General features: G+C 33.4%; 2 annotated features.

Annotated features, from left to right (window-relative positions):
• Nucleotides 1–502: an enhancer, noted in NCBI's record as "NANOG hESC enhancer chr12:79229192-79229693 (GRCh37/hg19 assembly coordinates)". NCBI's record gives its function as "activates a minimal SCP1, AML or CMV promoter by ChIP-STARR-seq in naive H9 embryonic stem cells {active_cell/tissue: H9 hESC(naive)}" and the evidence as "EXISTENCE:reporter gene assay evidence [ECO:0000049][PMID:30033119]".
• Nucleotides 17,158–17,358: a silencer, noted in NCBI's record as "peak1851 fragment used in MPRA reporter construct". NCBI's record gives its function as "represses an SCP1 promoter by STARR-seq MPRAs in K562 erythroleukemia cells {active_cell/tissue: K562}" and the evidence as "EXISTENCE:reporter gene assay evidence [ECO:0000049][PMID:32103011]".

Raw genomic sequence — 22,906 nt, 5'->3', positions numbered from 1 at the left:
GAAATTTTGTTCATTTTTCTTGCGTTACTCAGGTTCTTCTTTCTCCAACTTTTATTTTAAGTTCAGTGGTACATATGCAGGATGTGCAGGATCGTTACACAGGTAAACATGTGCCATGGTGGCTTGCTGCATGAATCATCCCCTCACCTAGGTATTAAGCCTAGCATTAGCTATTCTGAATAGCCCATTAGCTATTCTTCCTGCTGCTCTCCTTCCTCCCATCCCCCAGCCTCCTCCGACAGGCCCCAGTGTATGTTTCTTGCTCGCATGAGTCCATGTGTTCTTATCATTCACCTCTCACTAATAAGTGAGAAAACGCGGTATTTGGTTTTCTGTTCCTGTGTTAGTTTGCTGAAAATGATGGCTTCCACCTCCATCCATGTCAATGCAAAGGACATTAACTCATTTCTTTCTATGCATAGTTTCTTTATCCTGTCTATCATTGATGGGCATTTAGGTTGATTCCATGTCTTTGCTATATGAATAGTGCTGCAATAAACATATGCGTACATGTCTCTTTATAATAGAATGATTTATATTCCTTTGGGTATATACCCAGTAATGGGATTGCTGGGTCAAATAGTATTTCTGCCTCTGGGTCCTTGAGGAATTGCCCTGGAGACCATCAGGAAAAATCAATCATTATCCTAAAGCTACTGATTTATTTTTCTTCTTCCATCTCTTTCCAAAATTTTATATTATTTTTAGCGGAATGTCTTCTAATCCTAAGCTTTCTTTATGTCTCTCTCATTTCCATTATTCTATCTTTTTCCATTTTTTTCCTTTACAAAACCCAAAAGAACCAGCTTGATAGACTTTCTCTGAGAGTCAACACCCTTCGCAAGTATCTAGTGGCTGTATCAAGTATTGTGAGAAATATAAATTTTATTCTCCTTGCACCATGAATTTTTTGTTTCAATATTAGATTATAACAAATTGTAAAATTATGTGTTTCAGACACAGCATGATTTATAAAGTCTTTGGGGGGGTAGCCTGAAAATCACTACATTATGTCTATCACTCCCTCAGTTGGAAAGATGAGTTCCAAAAAACAAATAACAAATTTAAAATAAACCCTTGAACACGAAATATTTACACACTGACAGTTACTTATAAATTTATGTTACACGGTTTTTATTTTTGTTTAAATATTTGTTTGAATATTTTAAACAGAAAATACGTGATGTAAGATATATGGTATAAACTTTCTAGAAGAAATTTGGCAAGAAAAAAATTCTTCTATTTATGAACAGATAAGTTTCTGAAAGATTGTGAGTCCTTTTGTTCCTCCATGCAAGTTATAAATAATGGCATTTGTTGACACCAAGAAGAGTTCTGATACTTTTTGTGTTTATTCATAGTTTTATTTATACTCGCATGTAATTAATAAGATTTAAAATTTTAAAGTTTTGTATTTTCTGAAATTATTTCAAATGAATAATCTTGGACTTATCTTTCCATTTTGTGCAAAATAATTTGGTAATTGAAAAAGGAATATGTCTAAAGATTTTTATCACAGGCATTCTATTTAATAGTGACAAATTGGAAATGCTATGAAAGTCCATCAAAATTGAATTGATTAAATAGTTCATAGTATAGCTATTCATTTGACAAAGTATGCAGTAATAGTAATAAAAATATAAGATTTTATGTTATAATATACAATGTGACCTAAAATAATATATACTAGTGGTATAATATTGTATCAAGTTATATAGTATTATATAAAATACTATGTACTAGTTATATAAATGCCATGTACTAGTTACTTTACAATAGCCATATGTGGTAGGTAGTGCTTTATTCCCCATTAAAGAGATGAGGTTCAATAAAGTTAAGCAATTTGTCCCGTTGTCCACAACTGAGTGGTAGTCTTAATTCAGAAAACCAGGAAAAGTGATTCTAGAAATGATGTTTTGGGTCACTATGCTATTGATGTTTCTCCACATTTACTGACATGGGGTATGTTCTTAATATATTATTCAGTTATTTCAATTATTCAGAATACAAATTGGGAAAATGAAATATTTATCTTAAAATATTCATAGTAGTTGTCTCTGAGAGCAATGATATATAGTATTTCCAATTTATTATATTTCTTTCATTTTTAAAAAAATTTTCTATAACATTTGTAGTTCATTAGAAATTATAAGTTTAATGCATTTGAAATATTCTTTATATATGAATGAACTAAATGAATAATGAGGGAAAATAAAACAAAGCAAAACAAATATTCTCATATAAATATGTCTTAATGGTTATTAATTAAATTGTTACCAGGATTTGTAATAAAGTGCTGGATTATAAGACAAATACTTCCTGGCTGGGCGCGGTGGCTCACACCTGTAATTCCAACACTTTGGGAGGCTGAGGCAGGCAGATCACCTGAGGCCAGGGGTTCGATACCAGCCTGGCCAACATGGCGAAACTCTATATCTACTAAACATACAAAAATTAGCCACGAGTGGGCTCCCATAATCCCAGCTACTCTGGAGGCTGAGGGAGGAGAATCACTTGAACCTGGGAGGCAGAGGTTGCAGTGAGCCAAGATCGTGCCACTGCACTCCAACCTGGGTGACAGAGCGAGACTTTGTCTCAAAAAAAAAAAAAAAAAGAAAGACAAATATTTCCTAAATTCTGTTCTGTCATTATATGTATATATTTACATTTTCTTTGGTGAAAATATATTACACAAATAATAAAAATCTAATGAAAATTTCAAATAAAAACTATTTGCTTTCCTCGCAATAAATACCCAGTGAGTATAGGAAATGATGGTGGCAAGAAAGAAACATAACAATGAGCCTTGCTACCCCTTCAGCAATGTAAACTATTTAAGTAGAACACAGATGATATAAGCATGGTATAGTCATTGTTCCCAAGGTAAGCAGTTTTCATTGTCTTACTGCAGCTGCATAGAGCACAACTTTCAACCACTTGCAGAAGTTTCTTTAAAATATATCCTCAGAGACTGTAAGCATGCAGCTTAGCGGGTTTTTTTTTTTTTTTTTTTTTCATGACACAAGCCAGGTTAAATTATTGAAGTTCTCTAGCTTTTGCTAATTCAAGGAGTCTTGTTGTCTGTTTCCACAGAAGCAAAGGGAAATAGCTGCTGGCTGTACATGAAGGTCTTAAGAATCTATATCCTAGAGGAAATGTCGTTTTTGAAATTAGGTTAAATTAAACTCCTCAAGATTTGCCTTTATGGGTGATCCAAATCATTGAACACATGATCCCAAGACATGAAGTTTACAAATACAAATAGATGGCCCATCTATTATACTCCTTTAATTCAAAATCAAATCTCATCTCTTCTATCTCTATTTTATTGGGAAAGATCATAGAATTGGAGAATCATAATGAAAACTTTAAATTAGCTAATTAAAGAGCTTATTTCTTTAAAAAAATCTTGTTAAACGTGACCTAGTCTATGTTCGCTTGTCATTTTTCTTGCTAGCAGTACAGAAATTTTTTAATAATGGATTTTGAGATATTTCTCAGAGGACCAGAATCCGTGACTTTGAGGACTGTTACTACACAAAGTCAGAAATGTCATTGAGAGTGATTTTGATTTCACAATATTTTTGATCATCATAATGTTTATTAAGAGATCCATTAAAAGTCCATCATGCTAATTTAACAGGGACAATTTAATAGATTACTGTTGGAAAGCTTCCACTAAATTAATGTAGGAGAATTATAACCAAAGCTTTAATTGCTATCATTAAGAAATAAATAAAAACAGTAATAATGTATTAGTTACAAGCAGAAATCAATGGCATTATTAGTGAGTAAATTTAAATCTTTACTTAAAACAAAATTTAGTAAAAATTTTTCGATCTCATTTTTTCTCACTATTCATTTATATTTTGTTTCAATATTAGTTAATGCACCTCACTCATCATATGAGTTCACTAATTTGGAATGTTGTAGGTAGGGGTAAGCCATTCCTCTTCCCTTACTTCTAAGAATACTCATGGATATTATATTTTCTCCTTATTTCTCTGGTGGTAGGCTCTCCTGCAGGGGTGGCTGGCCCAAAGCAGAGCTGCCTTTTGGGTAAGTCGAGGATTAAAATTCGTAATCCTAGCCAGTCTCTGATGTTGGTCATACTGAATAGATGAAAAACTGGCAACTGTGAGAAAACAAAACTTCTAACTAGAAGCCAAACTGCAGAAAGAGAAGAAGGGAGCAAGTACATACAATTAAGACTATAAGGTCTTGAAATTATCAGCTTTCTAGTCCTGGTGTTAATTCCTGGAAAGACCTGGTTGAACTTCCACATATTGTGTTCTCTGAGACAGCTGTGTATCTTTACGAGATAGTTTATCTATCTATCTGTCTATCTATCTATCTATCTATCTATCTATCTATCATCTATCTATCATCTATCTATCTATCTAATCTATCTATGCATCTATCTAACCATCCATCCATCCATCCCTAGTTGTAGTTGTATTATGTAACTTTCAGTCTTGGAATTTATCTTTCCTTTGCCTCTAACTTTCTCCTCTTTTCCCTTCTTGATACCTCTTTTTTGTTGAGGGCTGATATAATCCTCTCTACTAATACTTCTTTTCTCTTCCCTTTCTTCTTGCTTCTATTTCTATCTACTCTTTATGTCTTTTTTTCTACCTACCTCCTTTTCTGCTTTCTCCTTCTCATGGTACTTCTAATTCTTATCTAACCATTCTTTTTTTTTTTTTCTTTTTTTGACAGAGTCTTGCTCTGCTACCCAGGCTGAGGTGCAGTGGTCTGATCACAGTTCACTGCAATCCCTGCCTCCTCGGTTCAAGCAATTCTCATGCCTTAGCCTACCAAGTAGCTGGGATTACAGATGTGCACCACCATGCCTAGCTGATTTTTTGTATTTTTAATAGAAACTGTGGTTTCACTATGTTGGCTAGGCTGGTCTTGAACCCCTGGTCTCAAGTGATCTGTCAGCCTTGGCATTCCAAAGTGCTGGGATTACAGGTGTGAGCCACCATGCCTGACACTTATCTGCCCATTCTTACCACAAATTCTTCCCTAGTGTTTTTAGGTATGTTCTCATTTCATTACTTTTCCTCTTTCTTACCATTGCCCAGTCTTAAATCCCTCATATCTCCAATTTGAGCCTTGTATATGCACCTAAGGCTTTGTTTAGGTTTTTTGAGCTCCTATAGTACTACATTGTAAACAAACAAACAAACAAACAAAAAAACTAAAAAAGAAATTCTGGGTTTTATCTCTAAATATATAAACACACTACTAAAGAACAGAACAGATATATAAATATTGTATGAATTTTTTCCATCAAGAGGACTTATCCAAATTAATTTCACTTTTTCTTTCAGTCAAAGAAAAATTTAAAAACCTGAAATGCTTTGAGGTCAAAGGGTTGTGTTTTTACTATAGAATATAGATGAAAGTTTTGAGCTTGTACTATTTGAGAATCTGCTAAGTAAAATTTAATCTTGTCTTCAATTAAAAATACCACTACCTAATTGTCATTCAGTGTTCTCCTTACAGAAGCTGAATATATGCATATGAGTGAAATTTGCATGAAGGTAATGTTTATAGTCATTTCTGGGTTAAAGAACAAGATTTATTTCACTTTATAGAAATATAATTTCTGACATGTGTCCTATTGCATTATGATCAAAGGGCTGAAGCGCTGAATATGGGAACTTCTACAGGAAGGCTGACTGTCAGTGATTATGTAAAATTCTAAGCAAAGGCAGCCTCCATTATGCACCTTGACTGTCAGAAGAAATTCTTTGCAGGTTATAGATTGCTGAATATAACAGGTTTCTGTCTACTGAGATTCCACAGGAGAGTCTAAGTTGTTTTATAGGTATAATAATATGTAGATATGCTGTTGCCAATAGTTTGAACCCAAGCAGATGAGCCTGTTAGAATCATACCCATGGATGTTGACCATATTTTATAAATAGATGATGACGATTTTGCTGAGAAATATAAAGCCAAATTCCCTTTTCAGATCCATGACTTGTAACCTGCCAGACAAGAAAATTGGCCTGAGTAATCATGTAACTCTATGAGCCATATTTTGAACCTGTCATCTATCAACCAGTGAGTCAAATATGTTTATTTTGCTGTTATCATGTTATTGATTTGCTTATATTAATGCTTGCTGGGGAGTGCCTTTAGGATACGGCATGAAAATATTTAGGATTTTTGCACCTATTGATTTTTCATCTATGTATAAATGTACATATATACTAAAAAAATTATAATGAGACATTTTATGCACTAATATTTTTATGATTTCATCAGGATTGCATTCAGGTGTCTGTTCAACTATCTCCCCTTCAGAGAAGCTTTCTCAATTCACCCTTGTCTAAAAGAGAGCCTCCCCATTACCTTTTATATCTATGTCTTGCCTTAGTATTCTTTGTAGCCCATGCCATTTATTTATATGTATATAGAAGTTTTTATCTGTGTCTATATTATTTCTTCCCCAGCCACAGTATTAGCTTCACAAAGGTAGGGATTCTCCATCTTTTGTTTTCTACCGTATCTCCTGGCTAGAGAACACTCTTAGTTGGTGAATGAATGAATCATGACACTAACTATAATGATAAAAAGATAAAAATAAACTAAATGCTCTATAATAGAAATATAGTTAGATAACTTAGTATATATTAATAATTTAAACCATTATGTGGATATTTAAAATGATGTCTACATGTTTCTTAGAAAATATTTTGTTGTTGTTGTAATATTATATGAATAAGGCAAGACCAAGAATCATATTTGCAATGTGATCGTAACAGTGTGTGTATGTACTCCTAGGAAAAACCAGGAAGAAATTTAATCCCTGAACAGACAAACAATGAGCTCTGAAATTGAATCAGTAATAAACAATCTACTAACCAAAAATACTCCAGGACAAGATAGATTCACAGTCGAATACTACCAGATTTGCAAAGAAGAGCTGATACCATTTTTACTGATACTATTCCAAAAAATTGAGGAGGAGGGACTCCTTCCCCACTCATTCTATGAAGCCAGCATCATAATGATACCAAAACCTGGCAGAGACACAACAAAGAAATAAAACTTCAGGCCAATGTTGTTGATGACCACTGATGCAAAAATACTGAACAAAATACTAGCAAACCAGATCTAGCAGCACAAAAGTTTATCTACCATGATCAAGTAGGCTTTATTCCTGGGATGCAAGGTTGGTTTGATATACACAAATCAATAAATGTGACTCATCACAGAAACAAAACTGAAGACAAAAAAGCACGTGATTATTTCAATATATACATAAAAAGGTTTTGATAAAATTCAACATCCTTTCATGTTAAAAAACCTTCAATAAACCAGGTAGTGAATGAAGATATTTTGAAACAATAAGAGCCATCTATGACAAAGCTACAACCAACAGCATACTGAATGGGCAAAAGCTGGAATCATTCCCCTTGAAAACTGGCACAAGACAAGTATGTCGTCTCTCACCACTTCTATTCAACATAGTATTGGAAGTCCTAGTCAGAGCAATCAGGCAAGAGAAAGAAATAAAAGGCATTCAAATAGGATGAGAGAAAGTCAAACTATCTCTGTTTGCAGATGACATGCTTCTATATCTAGAAAACCCCAAAGTCTCTGCTTAATAGCTCCTTCAGCTGACAAACAACTTCAACAAAGTTTCAGGATACAAAATCAACATACAGAAATTAGTAGCATTTCTATACATCAGCAACATCAAAACCAAGAGCCAAATCAAGAACACAATCCCAGTGACAATTGTCATAAAAAGAGTAAAATACCTAGGAATACAGTTAACCAGGGAAGTGAAAGATCCCTACAAGAAAAATTACAAAACACTGTTCAAAGAAATCAGAGATGACACAAAAAGCAGACAAACATTTCATGCTCATGAATAGGAAGACTCAATATTGTTACAATGGCTATACTGCCCAAAGCAACTTACAGATTCAGTGCTATTCCTATCAAACTACCAATGACATTTTCTTCACAGAATTAGAAAAAATTATTTTAAAATACAAATGGAACCAAAAAAGAGCCCAAATAGCCTAGGTAATCAAAAGAACAAAGCTGGAGGCATTATGTTACCCAACTTCAAACTGTACTACAGGGCTACAGTAACCCAAACAGCAAGGTACTGGTATAAAAATAGACACATAGACTAACAAAACAGAATAGAGAACCCAGAAATAATGCCATACACCTACAACCATCTGATCTTTGACAAAGCTTACAAAAACAAGCAGTGGGGAAAAGGCCCCATATGCAAAAAATAGCACTGGGATAACTGGGTAACTATATGCAGAAGATTGAAACTGGACCCCTTCTTACACCATCTATGAAAATCAACTCAAGATGGATTAAAGATTAAATGTAAAACCCATCACTATACAAACCCTGGAAGATAACCTAGGCAATACCATTTATGGCATAGGAACTGGCAAAGATTTCATGATCAATGCACCAAAAGTAACTGCAACAAAAGCAAAAATTGACAAATTGGATCTAATTAAACTAAAGAGCTTCTGCACAGCAAAGAAACTACCAAGAGAGTAAACAGTCTACAGAAGGGAAAAATATAGTTGCAAACTATGTATCTGACAAAGATCTAATATCCAGCATTTACAAAGAACTTAAATTTACAAACAGCAATGAAAATCCCATTAAAAAGTGGGCAAAGGACAAGAACAGACACTTTTTAAAATAAGGCCTACATGCGGCCAACAAGTATATAAAAATGCTTAATATCACTGATAATTAGAGAAATGGAATCAAAACCACAATGAGATACCATCTCAACCTGTCAGAATGGCTATTACTAAAGTAAAAAAATAACAGATGCTGATGAGGTTGTGGAGAAAAAGGAACACTTATACACTGCTGGTGGAAGTGTAAATTAGTTCAACTATTGTGGAAAGCAGTGTGGTGATTCCTTTTAAGAACTGAAAACAGAACTACCATTCAATCTAGCAATCTAATTACTGGGTATATACCCAAAGGAATATAAATTGTCCTACCATAAAGACACCTACATGTGTATGTTTACTGCAGCACTATTCACAATAGCAAAAACATAGAATCAACCTGAATGTCCATCAATGGCAAACTGGATAAAGAAAATATGGTACATATGTAAGATGGAATATTGTGCAGCCATAAAAAAAGAACAAGATCATGTTCTTTGCAGGAACATGTTTGGAGCTGGAGGCCATTATCCTTAGCAAGCAACCACAGGAACAGAATACCAAATATAACATGTTCTCACTTATAAGTGGGAGCTAGACATAGAGTACCTATGGACACAAAGAAGGGAATAACAGATACCAGGGCATAGCTGAGAGTCAAGGGTAGGAGGAGGAATAGGATCAGAAAAAATCACTGTTGGGTACTAGGCTTAGTACCTGGGTGATGCAATAATCTGTACACCAAACTCCCATGACACAAGTTTACCTATATGACAAACGATACATGAACCCCTGAACCTAAAACAAAATTTTAAAAAAGAAGCAACACTCTCAAATATTTATAGCACATGTGATTAGATGGAGATGCCATGAGTTTTATTTTTCATATATTCTAATTTTTTATAATTATTATTTATCACTTGTCAGAAAAATGAAGTAAAAAGGAGGGAAAAGAGAAAATAAATACACTAGAAATCAAGTATTATAGACAGGTATTTCTTGATGTTTTCTGAGTATTCACTATGTGTGGGTGTTGTTTGAAGTGCGTTAGTCAAATGAAATTGCCTAATTCTCATAATTAGCCAATGAAATCATTATTATTATCTTCCAAGGTTACACCGCAAATAAATGGCATATCTGGAATTTGAAGCTTGGTCTAACTCAGAATCTGTAGTCTTAACTTCCAGTTAAGGATAAGGAAGGGAGTAACAGCTTCTGAAATTAAAAAAAAATTCATTCATAAATTCAAACAGTATTTAATTAATTTAAAAAGTGTAATATTTGTTAGCTATTTGAAATGGCTCATTTTGGGTTTAGTCAAACATATAGAGAAAAATGAATATTTGTATAAAAATTAGCAAGTTACTAATGGAATGTAAATTGGTGAGCTACAGGATATATATTATGCTAGAGATGATTATTGTGTCCTGGTGACATGTCAAGCCACTCCAGACAAAAAGTGGCCTTAATAAATCAGAATTTCATACACATGGAATCCTTCTGAGTTTTACTTCATTTGTTTAAACCTACAGATATAAAATGTTACCAGGGCTTTGTGTCTAGATGCCATTTTGATGTGGTCTAAAATGCTTTTCTCTCTGTTTAATTTAATGATATACACACATTCCATAAAAATTAATAAAATACCTGCAACTCTAATATTATGTGGTGGGAAGAACATGGGCTTTGGAATCCTTGGAATTAAATTTGTTTGGGTTTGAATTTCAAATTAAAATTTTACTCTAAGTTTGTATTCATAAAGCATATCATTTGGATATATGATGTTTTAATGAAAGTCCAAGTGAAAACTTCTAGTATTTCCGTAATGTTCAGAATATAGGCATTTGCAATTCCATAGAGCCAAATAACTCAATTGTTATTTTCAAAATTAAGAATCTTGGGTATTTATTATTTATTAGTTCTAACAAAAAGGTTATATGACTATAAGAGTGATCAAAGTCACAGCTGACACTTGAAAATGCCTTTACACAGCAATATACCTGATTCTGTTCTCAGTGAAAAAAGTTCAGGAAATTTAATTTAGGATGCCAGGTGGCACAATAGGTTATACATTAACTTGTCCCCTCTGGAAAATTAAATTTGAATTTGGCCCTGGTCACAAATGAAATGAGTCATTTGGTACATGCCACTAAGGATACTCACAAAGCCAAAATGACATTTCATTGAAAAATCACCTGTTAAGAAAAATGTCTTCAGTCACTGGGGAGTTTAAAAAAAAAGAAAAAGAAAAAGAAAAAGAAAAGCAAGTGATAGAGCAAAATAAAAGGAATACTAGGGACTATTGTAGATTGTGGGCTTGCTGAAAGTCTGGAGGAAAGTGCTGTAACACTTATCAGCTTATCTTCAGCTCGAAAAACCCTTAATTTTAGCCTATACTTCAAGATCCTAGGAGATTATTTACTTATTTTCCAATGAAAGTTTGTTTTTTTCCTTGTCACAGGTTTAGCCAAATGTCAGTTTGTATCAAATTATTATGGATTACTGAGCTCACTGCAAGGAACCATCTAATTATGATTTTGAACCTTATGTTTAGATCTTTCCGTTCTTTCTAGTAACTAAATAATGTAATTATAAGTAATATTCTCTCCTCGTTTAGGGGAATAAGAAAATGTATAATTGACAGACTTCAGAGATAAACTTAGTTTAGAATTCATACATTTTCCTTCTATTGTTGTATACTTCTTCATCTAATGATTACATAGTAAGCACTTAGGCAAATAATGAGATTAATAACAGAAGAGTGAGATTCTCCAAACAAGCAATACAAGCCTATTTCTTTCATATTTACTGTTGAAGAAATATAGTAGAAAAATATAAAAATCATCCTAATTGCTCACAGTTTACGTGTCTTTTCCTGGATTCTAAATAGACACTGGTAACTTGTTTTGGGGGAGTCTTAAAACTTGACAAGGCAGTACTTTCTGATTAGGCCAAGCACCTTTTGTATTCTGCTTAAAAGTAATATTCAAGCCATACTTAGCTGTTCTATGACGGCTTTTGGCCCTCTACCTGACAGTTAAAACCTGAAACATCTTAGTGGTTCTGTGCATCTAAACTCTCAGGCTGGCTTGTGCTGGGGCAAACTAAGAAGTTAGGGAGTTCCTGGCCAACAATTTTACCTTGGCAGGAAATTACCACATCATTCTACTCCATCCGGGAGAGAAGTTATGATAAGAATTATAGTGTGATTGACAAAGTTAATGACAAAAATTTATTCACAGAATCTCTGAATTGTATTCCCCACAGTACCTCCTAAGTAAAGGTCCTTGCTTAGCAATTGTATTAGAACTTAAACAAAGGGACAAACTTCACTTTAAGTAGATCAAGATGATAGGGTTATGCAGCAAGATCTCCAACAAAAATGTCATTGGATTTGCATATGTTAATTCATTCTTCCGTAATGCAAACATGAAATTATATTTTTACAGAAAAGAATGTATTAGCCTTTTGGCAAACCTTACTTATAAACAATGGTCCCAAATTTACTAATATTCTCTCTTTACATAGAAAGAAGTCATTGCAATTGAGATTACTGAAAAAAATAGCAAATTACAATAAACCAGCACACATAGAAACAAATACATGCAACTATTCTGTAAAAGGTAAACAGAAAAATCTGTATAAGCATAATTTCTTTTATATGGCCTAAAACAAAATTATCATCCTTATACTCTATTAACTGCCTTGGGAATTCTAAAATCTAAAAAATTATGGTTAGTTTTGTGCAATAACATCTAGTCCTATGTTTTCTAGGAGAGGTTTAACATATACAAATAATAATAAAATTTATCTGCAGTTTTCAAGTATAATGAGTAAACTATTATTTTGTTTCGATTAGTTTCAGATTTTAAAAATCTGATTTAAAGAGGCAGACAATTATGGAAATAATCCAAGTTGACAGTATGTATTGTTTTACTTCTCGGAGATATATATTGAGTTCCAGCCACTGTAACTAAAAGTTTTCTTAGGCCTTTGCGTCATCATGTATTTCTATCTCAGACATTCTGAGGACAAACACCACTTTTTAGTGGTAGATATAAAAACTTTCAATTTACTATCTAAATATTTTTAACAGCCAAATTGAAAAGTAATTGGCAGTCTTATCAAATGTAAAATCCAGTCTTAGTTTTTCAAAGCTTCTTTTTTAGCTTTAAAATGGAGTTCCAAATGTTTAACCAGGATTTTTGGAAATACTTTAACATCAATAGTGAATAGAAAAGTAGTTCTGTGGGACTTTCAGAATATATTTTCTTAGTCATAACATTATAGAAATCAGTTTCTAAAAATTGGAATGAATATTTACAGTTAGGATTTATTTGATATTAGCATCATAACGAGAGCACAGCATTCCTGTGTTACCCTTCCCTAATATCTAAAATTCTATGAGATTCATGACTCAATTCATTGGGACCTTGAAGACATTTTGCTAATATCCTTATTTTAAATAAATTAATTTTACTACACTTCCAATTCATAAAATTAGAATGTAGGATCACTCTATAAGATATTCGACTTATTTTAATACAATTGGATTATGACATTACATTTTAACTTGTTCAGTGAATCCCTGTTGCTTTTAAGATAGAAAGCCATGCATGCATATACATGTGTCTTTTGGAGTTTTTGGTTTTAAGCATCAAAACAACTCTGTCTATGTTAGGTAAGAAAAGACAAACTTACTTGAGGGCCCAAACTAATAATGGGTAGCTAATAAAGAAGGCACACAGGTATAGGGCAAGTCTGGTAGTATAAAAATCAAAAAAGCACAGAAATCATGCTTTATGTTTGACAATCTAGAAAGACAGCATAGCTTATCAATTAATAGTCTAAGCTCTAAAGCCAGTGTGACTGGGTTTGAATCTTGGGTCTGCTGCTTACTCTTATGTTACTTTGTATAAGGTACTTAACCTTTCTGTGGCTTTGTATAAGGTACTTAACCTTTCCGTGGCTTAGTTTCCTCATCTATACTATGGGAATAATAACAGTATTTACCTCATAAAGGTTTGTGTTGGGCAGGTTAGGTTAGGGAAGGCTACTTTTTGGTAACGACTCTTCAAAATCTCAACAATTTTTAAATAAAGGTATATTTTATACTCATGGTACATATTTATTATGGGTTGGCAGGTAACAGCTCCTTGTCTTGTCATTCTCATTTCTATGACCAGGCTAAAGAAGGAACTACTGTCACTTAACTCATTGGCCAAAACTGGTTATTTGGTTTCACTCAACCAGAAGGCTATCAGGGAGTACAACTGTACCATGAGTTCAGAGTATTTGATGAAGAGTGTCAACGACTAATAAACATTTCCTAGTAAGTGAATATTTGTAAAACACTTAGATCTGGACCTGAAGCATAGTAAGAATTATAAGTGTTCTTACTAAATAAACAAACAGCTAAAGCATTTCTGTCTCTGGATTTAGTTACAGCTAATTTTAATGATTCCAACCATCTTAATGTGTTTACATCATTTGCTTCAGATTCAGATTCAACACCCAGGGCTCTGCTTTACATACTTGCACACAGCTTTGCTGCCATTAGGTGCAATTGCTCTCAGTTTCCATAGAAGAAAATAGAACAAATATTGTCCATGTTATTCCCTCTTTTACCAATGGAAAGAAGAAGGATTTAATATTGATGGTACCTCAAACGATCAAATATTCATGCAATTACTCCTTGGCTGTCTGGTTTCCACATATATTCTTGTGTCTATACCTACCTTTCTAAAAATAATATTCTTAATAAGAAAACTAACCCTAAACTGCAAACATGTTCAATTCCCTCCAGAAAAGCAATCAAGTTCTGGGAGGATTTCTCTACTTTTTTGACCTTCAGGTCTTCCCTGTTCCACCTCAGGCATATGGCTAATAATTGGAGGAGCTACTTATCCAAGGTATGGTCAGCTAAAAAATCATGAAGTCCGGATTTGAACCCAAACAATCTTTTCTCTAGAGATCACACTCTTCACCAGCCCTGTGCTGCCTCTATCCTACTCAGCTGCTTTAGTCAGAAACTTGAGAGTCATCCTGGATGCTTCCCTGTTCCTCAAAGCCCACATGTACTTGGTCATATGTTCTTGTCAATTATACCTCCTAAAGTTTTCCCAAATCCATGACTCACTATTCCCTCTTCCACTTCATTTCAAGCCTTATCCTTTCTCTGCTGGATTTACAAGTGGACGTCTCTTCATTTATGCATCAATGTCACTTATCATTGTGCCTGGTACATGGAGAAAATGGATGTGTGCCTTCAAATGCTTTGAAAATGATCTCTCTAATCCAAGTATTGTTTCATCTCCAGTATACCTTCTAGTTGCTATTAGAATAATTTTCTATAACACAAATCTGTTATGCATTGTTCTATAGAATATCATACAAGTTCTTAGTTATCAAACTTCTGCCACTCTACTTTACCAGAGTAATATTTTACTAATTTTTTCTCAATTCAGTCCACTTCCTACAAGCTCCTCAAATGCTATTTGAGGACCTGATATAAAATCGTTCTGTTGTCCTGCTTTTCTATTTGTATTTTCTTTATGTGAAACATCATTGACTACTCTTATGTGAACTTAAGGCTCTATAAGTGAGTCTAACACTAGTGACCACTATAGAACATTTACTATGAACCCAGGCCCTTGATCTATATTTTAAATCTGTGCATGTTTGTCCCAAGGTGAGAATAAATATTTGCAGAATGAATAAATGAATTAATGTATAATATCTACCTTCCAAAGTAGCTATTTTTGATTTTTAGATATATTTAAGATATTCTATGACATTTTTCTAGCATTTCCACACACTTGTGGATAATAAAAGAAAAAGGAAATAGGATTTGAACCCTACTTTATCTAACTTCATTTATCTTTTTACATGAAATCAATCTCTATATTAATTTTAGTTTTTGAATGTTTTGCTTTTCTATAATTGGTGAATGGCAAATTATTCAATCTTTTAACTCAGCAAATACAGTGGTGCAGCATTTATAATTGAGGATACTGGTGAGATAAAGAGTACATACTGGTCCATACTATATTATTTTAGTACAAATTGAAAAAGGACAGGAACTGTGTGTCTTTATCTCACCAGTATGTACTCAGACCTAGAGCTGTGCCTGACCCAAAGGAAATGCTTGATGAATATTTGTTGGACAAATAAACAAAGGTGAGAATTAATTATGTAAAAATATAAAATTGTGGAGGGAATTTGCCTGCATTTACATGAATATAAGTAAATTTTTCTGTCCCAGAAGCACTGAAGAAAGGAAAACTGCCTTAAGCTGGTGTAGGAGCAGGATGATAGTTATAATCGAGAATAGGAAATGTGGCAATTGTTTCATAGTGTTTTGAAGCTTTATGCCAGCTTTAGAATCAAAGTCCTCTCACTTATCTACCACTCTATTGCTACTATATTTTTAGGTTTAAGTTAAATAATGAATGAAAATAGGCCCAATATTTCAACATTACATTTCCTTCTTTAGTTCTTTCCCTTAGGAAATTCCTCCAAAAATATCAATTTTGGTATGTAATATGTTGTGGGAAAATGTAGTCTTTTTCATTTGAACTACATAATATCTATGCATTTACCAGTCTCAGTTGTAGAAGTACATTTCTTTGATTTTTGTTAGAGTTAGTTTAATTATTAGACCAATCTAAATTTCATTTAAAACATGCCCTGAAGAAAATGTCAGAGAGCACTGCCTTTTAAGTATTAAATTTTATAGGAGACTTTTCAATATGTTTTTCAATTAACCATGGAGATGATGTCTAGGAAATATTTTTATAACGAATACAGGCTATAATACCTAAATTTTATTTGAATTCATTTTGTCCATTTATTCATCATTATTAATTCAGCACATGCTTATAGGGTGCCTGCTATGTGCCAGAAATAGTAGTGTCAGCACATAGTGTTTTAAAAATATAAAATATAAAAAGTGATTTAAATAAATTGGTATATCATATAGTTACCCAATTACTGTCACTTTAATTTCTACAGAAAGAATAAGTTAACTCTGATATGTAATGAAAATCATCCATATGAACCTTAATATTTATTTCAGAATATGCTTTTCACTTTTTCAGTTTGCTGGAGTTTTGTACATTTAAGCCTCGCTCAACTCCTCGGAAACTGTCAGAAGTATAATCATAGCATTTTAAAGCTGTAGCTAATCTTAGAAATAATCCAGTCAGAAAATTGCTCAAAATGCAATTTTACAGAAGTTTAATAGTTTGTCTATTTACTCATTTGTTAAAGGCAGAGGTATCGAGGGCGCAAGCATGATGATTCTTTGTTCATCTTTTTTATGACACTATGCCATATGTATTTTTCCCCAGAAGAACTCAGCTTTTTCACTTAACAGTTCAAATGTTAAAATACAAACTGGAATGAATTTCTATACCAGAAACTGCCATTTACTGAAATCTATTTGCTCTTTTTTTGGGGGTGGGGGGCCACACAATTTGACTACAAGTCCCAGGCTTCCTTGCAGTTAAACGTAAACATGTCTCTGAGACCTAGCCAGTGCAATGCAGTGGAAGTGCTACATGTCGTATCTGGGACAAGGGTTAAAAAGATGGGTGGGGCTGCTCCACCCTTTCTCTCCCGTTCAAGTGACTGGATGATGGAAATGACAGTAAGGCTCTCCCGTAAAGTAGAATGAAGACGGAAGAATCCTGAGTCTCCTAATTACTTCAAGATTGGCATTAGCTGCTTAAACTGAAAAGTGAGCAAGAAATAAACCTTCTTGAGCTTGAGTTATTAAAATTTTGTTCATGGATTTGTGTCTGTAACTTTGTGTTATATCTCATTTGAATTCTAATTCACTCCTTGGAATATGTAAGCACCCAAATTGACTATTCCAGTAAAAATCCATGCAGGTGCTTTTACAGAGAGAGGCTAGGTGAGAGAGAATACTCTTGTCTTCATATAAAAATTGAGGATTTAAGGGTAATTTAAAATATAGATTTGGTTATATTGACACATATTTACTATGTCATGACTAATTGATAACTAAAAATTTTTAAAGCTTTACTTCTGTGTAAGAAGTACCAGTGTAGGGTGCTGTTAGTAGGAAAGTAAATTAGTACAGCCATTATGAAAAACATTATGGTGGTTTCTCAGATAGAACTACCATACTTTCCAGCAATCTCACTACTAGATATTTACCGAAACGAAATGAAATCAGAATAAAATCCTGTCATTTGGAGCAGTATGAATAGAGCTGGAAGTCATTATATTAGGTGAAATAAGCCAGGCAGACACGAAATAAGACAGAAAGATTAATATTACATGTTCTCACTCATAATGGGAATCAAAAAATTGATCCCATGGAGGTTGAGAGTAGAATGATGGTTACCAGAAGCTGGGAAACGCTGGGGGGAGGAAAAAAAGAGAGGTTGGTTAATGGGTACAGACGTACACTTAGATAGTAGAAATAAGTTCTAGCATTGATAGCACAGTAGGGTGACTATAGTTAGCAACACTATACTGTATATTTTGAAATAGCTAGAACAGATGATTAGCAATGTCCCAAACACATAAAAAAAGATAAATGTTTGAGGTGATGTATATCCTAAATACTTTGATTGGATCATTATACATTGTATTCAGGTCTCAAAATATCACTTGCATCCCATAAATATATACAATTATGTATCAGCATTTTTTTTAAAAAGTCAGTGTAGGTTTGTCATCTGCAAACAGGAATAGTTTGATTTCATCTCTTCCTATTTGGATGCACTTTATTTCTTTGGCTTGCCTGATTGCTGTGGCCAGGACTTGCAATACTACGTTGAATAGAAGTGCTGAGAGAGGGCATCTTTGTCTTGTGAAGGTTTTCAAAGGCAATGCTTCCAGTTTTTGCCCATTCAGTATGATGTTGGGTGTCAACTGTCATAGATGGTGCTTATTATTTTAAAATTGGTTCTTTCAGTATCTAGTTTACCGAGGGTTTTTAAGATGAAAGGATGTTGAGTTTTATAAAAAGCCTTTTCTGCATCTATTGAGATAATCATGTGGTTTTGTCTTTAGCTTTGTTTCTGTGATGAATCATATCTATTGATTTGTGTATGTCAAACCAACCTTACATCCCAGGAATAAAGCCTACTTAATCGTGGTGGTTAAACTTTTTTGTTGCTGTTGTTGAGACGAGTTTCGCTCTTGTTGCCCAGGCTGGAGTGCATTGGTAGCGCGATCTCGGCTCACTGCAACCTCCGCCTCCCAGGTTCAAGCAATTCTTCTGCCTCAGCCTCCCAAGTAGCTGGGATTACAGGTGCACACCACCACATCAGGCTAATTTTTGTATTTTTGGTAGAGATGGGGTTTCACCACGTTGGCCAGGCTGGTCTCAAACTCCTGACCTCAGGTGATCTGCCCGCCTCTGCCTCCCACGGTGCTGAGATTACAGGTACTAGCCACCGCTCCAGGCAGGATAAGCTTTTCAATGTGCTGCTGGATTTGGTTTGGTAGTATTTTGCTGAATATTTTTGCATCAATATTCATCAAGGATATTGTCTGGTTTTAAATAAATAACCTACGTTAAAAACTTAGAAAAACCTCAAAGTTTTCTTTCTTTCTTGTGACTCTGCTAGGTTTTGGTAACAGGAGGATGCTGGCCTCATAGAATGTGTTGGGGAGGAGTCCCTTGTCCTCAATTTTTTTGGAATAGATTTAGTAGAAATGTTACCAGCTCTTACATCTGGTAGAATTTAACTTTGAATACATCTGGTCGAATTTGACTTTGAGTCCATCTGGTCCTGAGCTTTTATTGGTTGGCAGGCTATATATTAATGATTCAATTTTGGAGCTTGTTATTGGTCTGTTCAGGGAACTAATTTCTTCTTGGTTCACTTCTGGAAGGGTGTATGTGTCTGGAAATTTATCCATTTCTTTTATATTTTCTAGTTTGTGTGCATAGAGGTGTTTGTAGTAGGCTCCAATGGTTATTTATGTTTCTGTGGGGTGAGTGGTAATGTTCTCTTTCTCATTTCTATTTGTGTTTATTTGGATTTTCTCTCTCTTTTTTGTTTTTTGTTTTTTTTCAGATGGAGTCTGGCTTTGTTACCCAGGCTGGAGTGCAGTGGTGTGATCTCAGCTCACTGCAACCTCCACCTCCCGGGTTCAAGCAATTCTCCTGCCTCAGCCTCCAGAGTAGCTGGGATTACAGGTGTGCGCCACCACACCTGGCTAATTTTTCGTATTTTATTTCAGTAGAGATGGGGTTTCACCGTGTTAGCCAGGCTGGTCTCAATCTCCTGACCTCATGACCTTGTTTTTTTGTGTGTGCGTGTGTGTTCATCGAGGATATATTAAAACAAAAGAAAAAAAACAAAAAAAAATGGATTTGTTGCTCTTTTGAATGGTTTTTCATGTCTCAATCTCCTTCATTTCTCCTCTGATTTTGGTATTTATTGTCTTCTGTTGCTTTGGAGTTGGTTTGCTCTTGCTTCTCTAGTTCTTTTAGCTGTGATATTAGGTTGTTAATTTGAGGTTTTTCTAACTTTTTGATTTAGGTATTTAGTGCTATAAATTTTCCTCTTAACACTACCTTAGCTGTGTCCCAGAGATTCTGGTATGTTGTATCTTTGTTCTCACTGGTTTCAAAGAACTTCTTGATTTCTGTCTTAATTTCATTATTTACCTAAAAGTTATTCAGGAGCAGCCTGTTTAATTTCCATGTAATTGCATGGTTTTGAATGATATTTTTTTTAGTTGTGATGTTTATTTTTATTGCACTGTGGTTTGACAGTGTGTTTGGTATGATATAAATTCTTTTTCATTTGCTGAGGATTGTTTTATGTCGAAATGTGTGGTTGATTTAGAGTATATGCCATGTGGCAATGAGAAGACTGTGTATTCTATTGTTTTGGGGCGGACAGTTCTGTAGAGGTTTATCAGATCCATTTGGCTTAATTTTGGGTCCAGGTCCTGAATATCTTGGTACATTAACATTTCTTTAGATGCATGTTTGAGGTCCTTCATTATGATACTTTCTAGTTTTTAATATAAATATTTAATGCTATAAGTTTTCCACAAAGTACTTGTGATTTTCCTACATTCTGCAGCTTTTATAAGTTCTACTATGACAATTATTATTTCCTAGGAATTCATAATCAGCTTAATTGACGTATATTTCACATAGTAAATTTCATCAATGTAAAGTGAATTGTATTGTGAATTTTGAGAGACAAATGTACAAATCCATATAACTACCATGGCATTCAAGATACAGAATATTTCCATCACCCTAAAAAGTAACCTCATACCCTCTTGCAGTAGATCCCCTCCATATACCCATTTCAACACTAATAACTATTGATTGTTAATTTTTCCTTTATTCAAATTTTATATAAGTGGGATTATATGGTACATGAATTTCTTTTTGTTTGTTTTTGCCTTCTTTTACTTAGCATAATGCTTTTGTTGTGAGTAAGCACAGTTGTTTGTTTTGTAGGTTTATGCCACAATTTGTTTATCCTTTTATTTGTAGATAGGCATTTGGGTTTAGAGCTTATGGTCATTATGAAAAAGTCTTTGTTAACATTCATGTATACATCTTTGACTCGACATATATTTTCATTTATGTTGGTGTGTACCTTGGAGTGAGATTGCTGGGTTGTGTGGTAAGTGTCCATGTGCCTTTAGAAGAAACGATCAAAGTATATTATAATGTGGAATTCATACCAGCAATATATGAGAATTCCCATTTTTTACATTCTTTCCAACATTTGTCATTGCCAATCTCTTTAAACCATTCTAGTTTATAGTAGTATCTCCTTGTAGTTTAATTTAGATTTCCCAAATGATTAATTATATTGAATACGTTTTAATGTACTAATTGGGCATTTGTATAAGTTCTTTTCTAAAACATCTGTTCAGAACTATTTCTATTGTAACTAGACTGGTTCTTTTGTTATTAAGCTGTAAGAGTTCTTTAGTCTATGTTAAAATATGTATTACATATACTTTTTAAAGTATTTTTCCCCAGTTTATAGATTGCTTTTTCACATGTGACATTGAGCACTTATAAGTTTAGTAGTTTAAATTTAAATAGACTTGAATAGATGATGACTACCATATTGGAAAGTGCAGAAAAATTATATTTAATGTAGCCTGTAAGTTTGTAAATAATGTTTTCATTTTTATTCAGTTTCAGGGTTGCTTAATTTCTACAACCTCCTTTTTGAAGAATTAATTACTTATCAATATATTTTCCTTTTAATCTCCAAAATGTGAAAATTTTAATTTATATTTTCACTATGAACTTCTATCATAATTGTCAATAAGGTGAAGTCACAGTCTTTATGTTTTGTATTTTTTGAAAAATTTTTTGAATTTGTATGGCCTTTTTTAAGGCCTAGTATTTGATATGTTTTTATTAATGTTTAATGAGTGTTTGAATAAGTGCTATTCTCTCTCTATATATATGTATATACACACACACCTATATAAATACACATATATAGGTATGTGTGTATATATAAACATGGAAGTATGTATATATACTCCCATAGGTATATATATTCTCCCTCAATGAGATCAAGACTTAATTGTGTTATTAGGTGGTAGCTTTTCCATATTTTTGTCTTTTCCCCATAATCTATCAATAATTGAGAGTGATATTGAAATCTTGAGGTATGATGGTAAAATACTCAAATTCTTTCTTTAGATGTATCAATAATATTTACTTTATATGAAACTTTAAATTTCTTACATGTTTATAATTGATCTAATATCTCCTTATGAATTGAACATATTCCTTGTTGTCATCTAGACGTCCAGATCTCTTTCTTTTCTTAATGCGATCTGCTGTTATTTGCCTTTAATTTCTGAGTTACTCCAATGATGCTTTTTATAATCATTGGTTTACTTGAATATTTTCCCTAATTCATTATTTCAAATTGTACCACCTTTTCTGTATTATTCCTTCATTTTATCTTATTTTAAAAATAATATCTACTGCTTCTACCTGCCATAAGAATTTTAGCATACTCTGATTTATTGGTCTCCTCATCCACTCCAACCTCACTCTTACTCTTGTAAATTTTTACGACAACAAAACTTGCAATGCTATTTGATCACTTGCTTTTATTTTTATCTTGCAGCATCTCCTGGATTTTTTCTCTTCAAGTAGTTTATATAATTTTTTTTTTAAATTTATCATGACACTGTAGTTGAATTACACAATGACTGGTATTACATCTGAA

Source organism: Homo sapiens, chromosome 12 (assembly GCF_000001405.40).
Source record: "Homo sapiens chromosome 12, GRCh38.p14 Primary Assembly".
NCBI classification, from domain to species: domain Eukaryota; kingdom Metazoa; phylum Chordata; class Mammalia; order Primates; family Hominidae; genus Homo; species Homo sapiens.
This window is presented reverse-complemented; position numbering and strand designations above follow the sequence as displayed.